The sequence below is a fragment of the Homo sapiens genome, chromosome 10, assembly GCF_000001405.40.
Source record: "Homo sapiens chromosome 10, GRCh38.p14 Primary Assembly".
In the NCBI taxonomy this organism is placed as follows: domain Eukaryota; kingdom Metazoa; phylum Chordata; class Mammalia; order Primates; family Hominidae; genus Homo; species Homo sapiens.
This window is the reverse complement of record NC_000010.11, coordinates 111,113,659-111,125,796: the sequence shown is the minus strand read 5'-3', so window position 1 is coordinate 111,125,796 and position 12,138 is coordinate 111,113,659. Positions and strand designations below refer to the sequence as shown.

The 12,138-nt window shown below is 49.3% G+C and overlaps 1 long non-coding RNA gene across 1 annotated transcript; it reads right to left on the bottom strand.

Annotated features, from left to right (window-relative positions):
- Positions 1-7,200: 7,200 nt before the first annotated feature.
- Positions 7,201-11,506, bottom strand: HEAT2 (HEart disease Associated Transcript 2). Its single transcript, NR_159949.1, has 3 exons — positions 11,381-11,506; positions 10,767-10,894; positions 7,201-7,837 (listed from the first exon to the last, which is right to left on the bottom strand). It is a non-coding gene; the product is annotated as an HEart disease Associated Transcript 2 (long non-coding RNA).
- Between the last annotated feature and the right edge of the window lie 632 nt (positions 11,507-12,138).

Here is a 12,138-nt window from a genome sequence, read left to right as displayed (position 1 = left end):
TAAAAAAAAAAAAAAAAAAAAAAAAAACATGCAAATATAGAAGCATGCCTATAACTCCAAGAGGTCTACAGACCTGCTCACTCCCCAAGCCCCGTCCACCCTTAATACTGTCTGAGCGTGACCAAGGAGATTTGGGGAGAAATGGTGCTCATTCGTCAATTCAGCAAATGCGATTGATTGTCCACTATGACCAGTACATGTTGTGTGGGCAACAAGATAGACCAGGTCCACACTCTCACAAGGCTTATATTCTAGAGGGAATACAAAGACAGTAATCAGGAAATTACAGCAGATAGTAAGTGCCCTCAAGGTAATGGACATAGTGTGATGTAACGAAGAGTTACTGGGAGGTAGGAGGGACTGACTCCATCTGAACATGGAGAGGTCAGAGAAGGTCACTCTGACCAGTGAAGCTCAAGGATAAGAAAGAGCCATACATGTGCTGAGCTAGAAGAAAATTATTCCAGGCAAAAGGAATAGCAAGTGCAAAGGCCCAGTGGCAGAAAGAGATCACTGCACTGGATGAATGGGCAAAGGTCAGTGTGGCAGGGGCTTTGTGAATGAAGTGGTCAGTGATAGGAGATGTGGTTGGAGGTGAGCTCAGAGAGGTGAGTGGGGGGCCGCTTGTGCAGACCCTGGGTATGTGTTCATGGCCTGATCCAGATCCTTGGGTATCCTTCCCTCATAGCAAGGGGAGTCAGAGGTAATCCTGAAGCACATGGGGAAAAGTCAGCTGTATTCGCAGAACAACACAGCCTGAAGCTGAGGCCAAAGCCCTCAGGGTAAATGACTGCTAGCGCTAAACCCAGCAGCCTAAGGGACAAGACCCTCTGTAAACACCCACCATCTCAGTCTTCTCTCTTCCCCTGCAGGACTGAGCTTGAGAGCTCCCTCTGGAACTCAATACATCTCTCTTTTCTCCTGTACAAAGACCCACGCTGCCTTCCTCTTCTCCCCTGGTCTATGTCAGACTGTCCTTCCTGTCTCCAGTTTCCTGCTCTCTTCCCTCCAGGCCATTATGATGGTCTTCCTTCTTAGAATACTATTCCATGTCCTCCCTGCATGAACATGTACTGCTCTTCCTGTAGAAAACAGCATAAATCCCACCTCCTCTGACACTCTAAGGACCATTTGCAGCGGAGGCCAACTGGCCTCTTGAATTTTTTTACTTCTCCCAAGCAGCCCTGATTTGGCCTCGTGGCATTGGTTACTATTACACCCAAAATTCTCATCTCTCCAAGGAAACTGCAGGTTCTTAGAGGGCAAGAATGATGTAACTGAGCAGGTGTCCCCGTCACTCACCCACCAGAGTGCCTAGCTCAGAAATGGTACTCAGGAAATGGCTTGACTCCTGAAGGCAGAGGCAGCAAACTGGGAAACGTGCTGACTCTGCCCTCTGTGCCCAGGCACCACATTTGTCCAGGCAGCTTGCTTAGCAGGGCCTGGAGCTGACAGGGGCTCAACCAATGCTGGTGGAATAAACCACCAGACCCATCTTGGCTTGGAGACTTGGGATGGATGAGCTGACACCTCTGAGCCTCAGTTTCCTCCTTTCTAAACTAGGGATGATGTGAGTTCCTTCCTCATGAGGCTGTTGTGAAGATCAAATGAAACATGAACAGGTTTTGTGAACCGTAGAGTCCTCACATATTATGAGTGGCTGAATGAGCCACTGGTCAACAGCACAGTTGACACCACACCCGGTGGAGAAGGATGTGAACCAGAGGGCTGAGTGGAGCACATCCTGCTTCCTACTAAAGCAGGTCAACCAAGAACAAAGAGTAACGATAGGGTCGTATTCCAGGGAAGGGCGTCTGAGCTTTGAAGGATGAGTGTCTTCTATGCCATCATGTCTCACATCAATTCTGCTTGCCTCTAATGCCTTCTCCTGGCCTTATGGAAAGACGGGAAGGAGAGTTGGCCGGTCAGGTGGGGAGGGAGGCCTGGGAGGTGAAGTTTTATATTGCATTCTTTGTCCCCAACCTCCTTCCACCTTCCTTGCTTTTTAGGGAGCTTATTTAAGTTGGGTTGCCCTCCAGAGGCCTGCTCTGGCTTCCTGCATATTCTATCACTCAGAGGAGAACCCTGGGCCCTGAGGAGCATCAGAAAAGGTCAGTGAGTCCTTCATGTGCTCAGAACAAGAGGGTCCAATCCTCCCAAGCAGAGAACAATGGGCAAAATGGTTCAGGAGGCAAACTGTTTCCTGAAGTCCAACACCATTCTCAGCACCTCCACACCCAGGTAACATTCCACAGGCACACAGGGCTGAGTGGAATTCGATCTCTGCCACGTACCAACTGTGTGACCCTGGGCAAGTCCCCTAATCCTTCATAGCTTCGGTTTGCTCCTAGTACCTACTACTTAAGATTGTTGTAAGAATATATCGAGAGAATGCTTGCAGAGCACTTAACATAGTGCCTGGCAATATATTTTAGCTATTTTCACTGTTATACCATCAAGGCACAGTTGTAGGATTTGACCTACAAAGGACTGGAAGCTCCAATCTTTGATGTTCACTCACAGACCCCCCCCACCTCCAATAGAGAAAGAGCCACCATCCTATAATGCCTGTCACTGAGACACTTGGGAATCTCCACCATCACCCGTTCCCACTCCCCATACTCTCAGAGTAGCCACTGGATAAAGATGTCTTAGTTCAGAACAAACAGGAAAATGTCTACCCTGGAAAGTTCCCAGACCCTGATTGCTCACATAATGGCCACATTTTGCCACTCCTCTTATAATTAGAAAGTGAGGGAGATGGCAGGGCAGAAGGCAGAGATTTAAAACTTTTTTATCCCAAAGCCATGCCAAAGTCCAGGCACACACTCAACACCCATCATGGAAATCTCACCCTGTCAAGTGGTGAACCAAAAAGCACATCGGTCTCCCCCAACATTCATGCAGAAAAGTAATGTTGTGCTGGTCACCTATATGCCTCTCTGAATCTCTCAAAGGCAGAGGAAGATTACGCCTATGCATCCTTAGAGACCCAACACCTCACAAACAGTACACATGCAGTAAATGCTTGTTCAATTTAATTGCATTGAGAGAATCCTATTCTCTCCAGAGGTGCAGAGAGTAGAAAGTCCTACCTGGAAGAACTGCTCCCTAAGAACCCCATCCCCTGGGGCATATGCACATCCAGCCTGGTGGCCAATCCTTTCTGCTCCACACAGGGGTTTCAGTCTTGGGCTATTGGTTACCTGTTCACACCTGCCCCTCTATCTGGACTTATAAACTTCTGAAGAGTAGAGATGATCTGTCTTCTGGAGCAGAGGGAGTAGAGGCATCAGTATGAGGTGCTGGCTACTCTCCATTTGCCCCTCCAGAGCCTCCCTCCACCTTTCTCTGCTCTGCTTTCTGTCCAGGGAGGCCAAACTCCATGAACTGCATCAAGAAGGTTTCCTTGGTGTCTGGCTTCCAGATGGTTTCAGCCAATGGGAGGTGCTAAAAGGAGATCAGAAGGTGGGAGGAGAGACAAGTCAGGGTATTTATTTCCCCAAATCCCTCCCTGATGGGCCAGGGCTTGTTTGGGCTGCATTCCTCTACCCAAGGGCATAGCTCCTGTCAGGGGGCCCTCTCCTTTGCTTTAGCTCTCCCTCCTCTAAACTCTACAGGCACAGGTGTACCAGTGGTTTTCTGCTGTTACTAATCCTGGCATCCTTCATCATCCCTTGTTAGTGTCCTTTAACTCTGCCCACTCTTTGTAAACAGTCCCCTCACTGAATTTTCTTCAATTGCAACCCAAGTGTTATGTGCTTCCTGCCAGGATCTTAACAGATAGACCTGGAAATCTTAAGAGCTGGGTTCTAGTGCGGGCACTGTCGCAGCTATGTGCCTTTCACAAGGCTTGTCCCTTCTAGGTCAGTCTTTTCCTCTGCAAAATGGATGACATAACTAAGTGTCTCTAAGACCCCTTTAGCTAACAAAATTGTTCTTGCATCATCTCTCAGGGTCCCTAGGATACTGCTGTACCCATAGATGGTGCTGGAAACGATTTGATCGAAGGCTGCTATGGTGGGGAAAGGAGAGAGTGTCTGGTGAGTGCAGGGGTATCAAGTGCAGGGGTATACTGTGTTGTACATTGGCAGAAACAATCAGTGCCAGAGGAAACTGTTTTCCAGAAACCTATGTTAGTGCTTTAAGTGGCTGAAATGGCAGAGAAGTTTGGCTGCGTATAGGTGTATAGAAACAAGACAGCAATGGCTCAGAGCATGGGATGAGATGGAAGAGTCCTGAGTTCAGGTCTCAACTGCTGTTTCCTTATTTTATGACCATTGAAAGCCCTTTCACCCCTCTACATTCCCCTCCCTTACATGTAAAATGGGGGTGATATGAACACCTCCCTGAAGAGGCTGATATGAGAGTGAGAAATAGTTGCATAGCATTTACCACAATGCCTAGCACACAGTGAGTGCCACATAGTGGGAATAAATACTACCTATCACAATAAAAAAGGCCTTTGTGGCCAGGCACTGTGGCTTATGTCTGAAATCCCAGTGTTTTGTTTGAGAGGTCAAGATGGGAGGATTGCTTGAGGCCAGGAGTTTGAGACCCCCATCTCTACAAAAAATGAAAAATTTAGCTAGGCATGGTGGTGCACACCTGTAGTTCCAGCTACTCAGGAGGCTAGGATGGGTGGGAGGATCACTTGAGCCTGAAAAGTCAAGGTTACAGTGAGCCATGACTGCACCACTGCACTTCAGCCTGGGTGGCAGAGCAAGATCCTGTCTCAAAAACAAAAAAAAAAGGAGGAGGAGAGTCTTGTGACCAATCAGATGAACTGAAAGGCAAGATGCCATTGTGTGAGAACCAAGAAGGCCAGAGAAACTACTCAATTCTATGGCCCAACATAAGAGATAGAAGATAAAAATTCAAAGATTTACTAGGTGTTATGTTAGAGAAAACAAAAGTAATGCTCAATAATCACCCCCTACTCTCTTTCTAGGGAAATTTCCCAACTTCAGAGTAATGCATATGAGTCTGAACAAAGCATGGCAATACCAATGGGCTGAAGAGGCAGAAAACAGACTTCAAGGCAGCTGGAGAAGCTGGGAGTTGCAGGGCAGGATATCACAGAGGGAAAAGCTGAGGACAGAAGTCTAGAAGTCTTGCACCCTGGAAGTTGAAGACCGAGGAGTGGGCTGTATATGTTCAGGGTGTAACTATCTAGGTCTTATCAGAGAATGCCTACTACAAGTTTGAAAGCATAATAGAGAGGGTGAAGAGTGCTGGTGGACATAGCACTCTGACCCACACCTCATTAACATGCTGAGTACCCAAATAAGATATCAGACTTAAAGGAATTGAGGGAAAATGTTATCCTAATTCATAAACAGATGGCTATCTCAACAGGAAGAAAAACGAGAGCTGTACAATTGCTAATGCAAAAATTTTACTAGATGGGTTTAACATCAAATAGGAGAGAGCAGAAGAAAGAGTTAATAAACTAAAAAATCCATTGAAAGTATTAATCTGAAGAACAGAAAGAGATTAAAGAAAAATAACCAGAGCCTTGATGACTAATAGGAAAATATCAAATGACTTTGTATGTCTATAATTTGAATGCTAGAAGAAAAGAGAATGGGAATTTCTCCAGGAAAATCTTTGGAGACATTAATAGAAAAAAAATCCAAATTTGGTGAAAACTATTGACTTACAGAACCAAGAAGCTCAGTGTTTTACCCTGCTTTTTTCAAGTAGGATAAGAAAATTAGAAATAAAACCACAAAACAGCAAAACCTGACACATGATAGTTGAATTGCTGAAAGCCTCCCTTGCTTCACTCTGCCCCAACCCCTCTTCCTCCTAACCAGTCTGACTGGGACATTGCTATGACCTCAGAGTTGCCCTGGGCCAAGCAGCAGAGTTGAAGGAGAGGTACCTACCCTTAAGCTTGGTCACCAGCGAGATACGTACCAGGAGGATCCAGAGCCATGGGAGCAGCAGGCATGGGTGTAAACATGTGAGATGCGACTGCATAACACAGGTCAGAGCCCAGGTGCACACCACTGTCCATCTCTACAGAACAGAGCCCAGTGAGAGTTATAGGATGAGGAACACTATCTATTTCTTCAGAGAAATAAGGGTTGTCCCTCGGTCAAACATCAGCCAGGCTTCCCTCTGTATTCATCCATCTCCTCTGACCCCTAGAGCCAAGTCTACTTAAAACTGAATTCTGACTCCAGAAAAGAGAAGGTGTGTTACGGTTCTCCAGAGAAAAAGAAGAAACAGGAGAGAGAGAGAGAGAGAGAGAGAGAGAGAGAGAGAGAGAGAGCATGAATGTGGTAGGCTGGCAGGTTGGAGATCCAGGGAAGAGTTGTAGTTCAAGTCCACATGCAGTTTTCTGGCAGAAATCCTTCTTCTTCAGTCTTTTTCTATTAAGGGGGAAGTCAGTTTTTTTGGTTTTGTTTTTCTATTAAGACTTTCAACTGATTGGAGGAGGCTCACCCATGTTATGGATGGTAATCGGTTTTACTCAGTCCACTGATTTAAATGTTAATCTCATCTAAAAAACACTATGATAGAAATATCTATAATAATGTTTAATCAAATGTCTGGGTACCATGGCCTAGCCAAGTTGACTCATAAAATTAACCATCATACTATCATTCTGAGAAAATGTGTCTCCTGTAGGAAGGGCCTGTGCAGGACAAAGATGAGCCTGAGGACAGCACCAACTAAGGGTATAGAAAAGGGGCTGTGACACCAAAATCTAACATGCTCCAAGGCAGCACCAATGGAATTAAAGTGGCCCATTTCCTTCCAAGGAGACTAGACCCAGAGCTGCTCCAACTTAAGCATGTATGTGAACCACCAGCCTCCTGATCCAGGAGGTCTGGATGTGGGCGTGAGAGTGAGCAGTTCTCACAAGGCCCTGGTGGCTGCCTGTGCCGCTGGTCTCTGGGCCATAATTTGAGTAGCAGGGTGGAGGGCCTCAGAGCCTAGATTCCTAGGTCTCATCCCAGCTCTACTCTTCGTTTGCTGTGTAACTTTGAGCAAGGGAGGTACTTAACCTTCCAGAATCTCAGTGTCCTCATTGATAACGTGGGAGGTAACAATATCAACTTCAAAAGGTGATTGTGAGATTAAAAGAGAATATGAACATGAAGTACATGGATAGTTTGAGCTCAATAAAAGCTCCTAGCTACTATCATTATTATGGGCACCTGATTTTTAAAGAGTACATGTTAGGTAGGATATAAATAAATCTTATATTTGGTGATCAGCATGGGGAAAGGACCTAAACATACAGCCACAGGAAGAAACGTTGATAAAATTGAAACCATTCACTCTAGAGAGGAACAGATGTAGGAAGGAGGTGGGAGGGAAGTGGAGGCCCAAAAGAGGTGATGAAAGTCTTCCTGAACATTCTTGAAATGGAGCGTTCATGGAAATAAAGTGAGAGTTATCCTGCAAGCCTCCATGAAATTAACAAAGAACAAGATGTGGAGCTTCCTGGTAAGTCAAAATGAGATCAGTGACAAAGCTTGGGAGTATCCAAAGCTGACCAGAAATGAAGAAGGTTGTGTGAAGGTTGTGTGGACCACCAGAGGCACGACAGCAGACTGTGCCACCACCCCTTCACCAGAAAGCCAACAGGCTGGTGCCACAGATTCATGTGACAACGCCCACACCCTCCAAGCACTTCCAGAACTCCAGAGCAGCTCTGTCAATGGCTCTCCTGGAGCACGGCCTCCTTCCTGCACTCAGAGTCCCGGCGCTCCAGCTCTGCTGTCCAAGGGCCACTCCTGGGGGACAGTTGGCACATTCCAAGCTTAGTCACGATGCATCAGACAATTCATTCAGATTTCTTCAGTTCCATTACCAAGCCCTGTGGGAGCCAAATGGGAAAAAGAATCAATGCATAAGCTGGCCAGGGAAGTGGCAGTGTCCAAACAGCCTGCTCCCCATGAAAACACTGGCCTGTCCTTACCCCAGACCCCCAGACCAGGACTACCATGTTGCCAGGACAGTCAGACAGTCACACTATCCCATCTGACAACCACTGCTACACAGGCCATCTGCTCCATGGCCTCGGGGTTGCCCTTAGACCTCCTCCCCATGTCTCAGCAGTAGCAGTGGCCCCCAGGAGCAGCCCCACTCTGCTCCCCTCTCTGGGGCCTCCACACTGCTGTGCATTGCCCATGTACTTGTGAGGTCATCGAAACTCTTGGAACCTCAGTTTCTTCATCTGAAAAATGAGAACAAGAATAAGAATAATACCTACCTCACAGGGATGTCATGAGGTTAAAAGAGATAAAGATACCTAAAATATTTAACCTGATTCTTGGCATTTGGTACTGCAGAAATGTGGGCGTTACACCCCATGAGAGAGATACCCTGCCTTACCACAGAGGAGGCTCTAAGCAAGTGTTCATTAAACTGAATCATGCTGGAGAATACTCATGGCTCCCGGGTCTGAACTAAAGCAGATATCGGCAGTTGCTTCCCTCACCTCCTCACCCTTGTCAGCAGGAGCCAAGGTCACAAAGCTGGGGCCTCACCCTCTAAGCCCTACCCAGGGAGACAGGTGCTCTGCAGGGTTGCAGAAGCCCAGAGCTTACGCTAAGGGAGCTGCTTGAAATCACAGCTCCTTCCGGGCACCTCCCCAGCAGGCCTTGCTCCCAGCTCTGTCAGGCTCAAGCAGCTTTAGCCTGAACGTTCTGGCCTCGGCCTGACGCACCCCTCCCTCGATTAAAGGGCCACCCCCACCCACTGTCTGACCTATGGATTGGGACAGACCTGAGGGTGTCTGTGGCCTTGGACCCCCAATCCCCAGCCAGCCGGGGCTCCTGCCACTAGGCTTATTTGGGACAACTCAGTTAACAGTTGGACATCTGTCGTGTGCCAGGCTGCGTGCTAGGAACAGGGGAGGACCAGTGCTCGATGTGCAGAGGGAGGGAGGGATATGGCAGCGCCAACACCTGTCGCCTGGGGCGGCTGGGCAGGTCCACAGGGACCTCTCACAGATTCTGTAACAATGCAGATTCATAGGGCTCCTGGAAATGATTGCGTGGGGATACAGGGCACGTTCCTCAGAGAGGAACTTACAGACCGGTGGAGGAGATGTACTCCCGGCAGAGGACAGAGACCGGGGAGCACGGGTCAATCCTGGTGGGGCAGCAGGCATGAGCACCTGAAGCAGTGAAACATTTGTGGAGGGTCTTTCAGTGCCTGGAATCTGAATCAGGATGCTCAGAGAAACACTGACTGGGAAAGGAAGACACGCGCCTGCAGGTGCTGGTGTGTCCTGGAAGCTTCCATGGAGTAGAGGGCGATCTTAGAGCTCACCACCTCCACCAAAGCCCACCCTGAGGGGAGAGGCAGGCGTCATCTCAACCTCCCCCCTCCTTCAGAGCTGGAGACCCCAAATAGTTCAGGCACCCCCGCCCCTCTCTACACAAGCCTGCCGGAGGGACACAGGGACAGGGCTCCTTGCAGGGGGCCCGGGCCATCACACCCACAGCTGGATGCTGCACCCTGGGGGTGGTCATCCCAGGGACAGAGCTGAGAGAGCCTCGGGGTGGGTAGAGCTGGAGCTCCGGAGCCTGAGGGGGAAACCTGCCTGGCCCTGGACTCCTTGCTATGAGCGACGATAAATTTCCTCACTGACTATGCCCCTTGACTCAGGGTTTTCTTACTGATAGCTGCAGGCCTTCTGAGAGATATAGGGACTCCATCTCCTCTCCTCTCCCTACGTCATGCTTGCAAAACATCCAGAGCCTACCCAAACTAGCATTGCCAAACACAACTAGGGTTAGCAAATGAAAATGCCGGGTGCCCAGTTAGATTCAAATTTTGGGTAAATAATGAGTAATTTTTCTAATATATTATGTTTTATGCTATGCTTGAGGCATACTTATACTAAAAAATTACCCATTGTTTATCTGAAATTCTATTTTAAGCAGGCACCCTGTGTTTTATCTGGCAACCCTACCCCAAACCCCTCATTTATCTCGCCTGGCAGCACACTACCCTCCAAAATGGTTTGTCACCCAGAGAGCCTTCTGAGATGGCACTCAGGCACCCCCTGAGGTGGCCTGGGAGGGGTCAGAGAGCCCCACTGAACCCCCGGCACCTCCTCATTGCTGTGGGTTAGGGCTGGAGGGGGCCCAGTAAATGGCCTTCTCTTGCCTGCTAGGTCCTAACAATGGTGAAGAGAGAGAAGTGAAGAGGAGGAGAGACCGAAATATCACCTTAGCAGCTGAGAAAGCTGATTTGGGGGAATAGGGCTGAGAGCTGCAAGCACCTGGGCCTTCTGATATCAAACCCCAGAACTAGACAAATCATCTACTCTATTCCTGCAGCCCTGAACCCTCCCAGTCCTGCTCCAGGGCAGCTCGGGCAGGGGAGGGAGGCTGCCACTCCCCTGGCTCACTCTGTGACCAAGAACAGTAGCAACCCAGGCACCCTGCAGGCAGGCGAAAAAGGTGAGGGTTCCTGAGACCTGTTTGTTCTCCCAAATTCACCTATCAGCGAAATCATTCATCCTACCTATCCCCCTGGGAGAAGAGAGGTCAGGAATATTGGGCTACTGATGGGAGTCCACATGGAGGCATCCACCGCTCTCATTGGCAGCACTAGGGGAACCCCGTCGGTCCCCACTGGTGGCAGGCCACTCACAAGAGCACCCTTTGATGAGCCAGCCTGGACCATGTAGTCACCAGTCAAAAGAAGTCCTGGCCAACAAACACAGCTCACTTCCCAAACTGTGCCTGCCTCAGTTTCCTCATCTGTGAGATGGAGAGAAGAGCACTCACCCGGGCTCGTTCATGGATATGCCTGCAGCACACCTGGCGCACAGAGAGGGCTCACGAGGGCTGTGGCTGTTACTATCCCTGGCTCTGACATGGAGGGGAAGTGGGGGTGACGAAGCAAGGACAAGGCCCTTGAAGGGGAGAGAAGAGAGGAAGAAAGGGAGAATTTAGCTGGGCTAGTGTAAGACCTCTGCTTGGAGGGCTGCTGGGGGTCACGCAGTTTCAAGGAGGAAGAGAGATAAACAGATGAAGACACCAGGCTGGCCTCCCAGGTGAGATTGGTGTGGAAGCAATGAATGGGGGGAAGCACCCTGTCCCCATCACACCCATAGAACCTGATGCTTTCAGGGTGCTGACAAGCTCGAGATGCAGGAGCTGAGGCCTCTTCCTGGGGAAGTGCAGAGACTGGCACAGCTAGCTGGGAGCTTGGAACCCCCGCCAGGCAGGCTGTGACTCAGAGGGTGGCTCCAGGCCTAGCTGGAACAGGGATGTTCACCGGGACCCAAACAGAAACCACAATAGACGAATGGGCAGAGACAAGGAGGGAGGATAAAGGGCAGCGGTTGTCACACGGATACCCCACGTGCATGCTGGATTTCAGGCTTACTAACACTTACCCTCAGTAGTCCATTCAATGAAAGTTGATTGTCTCATCTGCTGTGGACTCTGGGGATGAAAGAGTGAATGTGGCAGCCATGGCCCCAGCCTCTGTGGGACAGCGTTCTTACACATGAAGCAACTGCACATTGTGGAAAGTGCCTGAAGGAAACATAAGCGCTGAGATAAAGAATCACAGGAAGTATGGCTTTCTTTGGTGGTGAGAGGCCTCACCAAGAAGTGACATGTGCACTAGGCTGTAATGGAAATGGAAGCTCCAGCGCTGGGAAGAACTTTTCAGGCAGAAGATGCAGCAAGTGTGAAGGCACTAAGGGGGAAAAGGGCAGGAGGATTTAGGCAGCAAGGCCAGTGCCCAGCCCTGCGCTGGTGTGAGGAGCAGCTCAACCCAAGGCTGGGGTGACGTCTGCTGGGCAAAGGGTCAAGAGTGGGATCACAGGCATGGTCAGAACAATGGCTCCTAAGTGTCCACTCATCTGGGAGGAGTCAGTCACCACAGGGTAGAAAAGCATGGTGGGACAAAGTGTCCCTGAGCGCCAACTTGTGAGGCCGAGGTCCTCAGAGGAGGACAGCTCCCTGAGGGCTGGGGGTCTCCAGAAGACTTCTTAGAGAAACCTCCTGGAGGACCCCATTTGGACAGGTTGGAGGTGTCAAACAGATGCGAGCAACAAAAGACAGCAGTGGCCCCTGGCTGTCTGTGCAGCAGAGAAGAAACTGGTTCGCCACAAGGTAGGGATGGGGTCATAGGAGGAACCTTCCT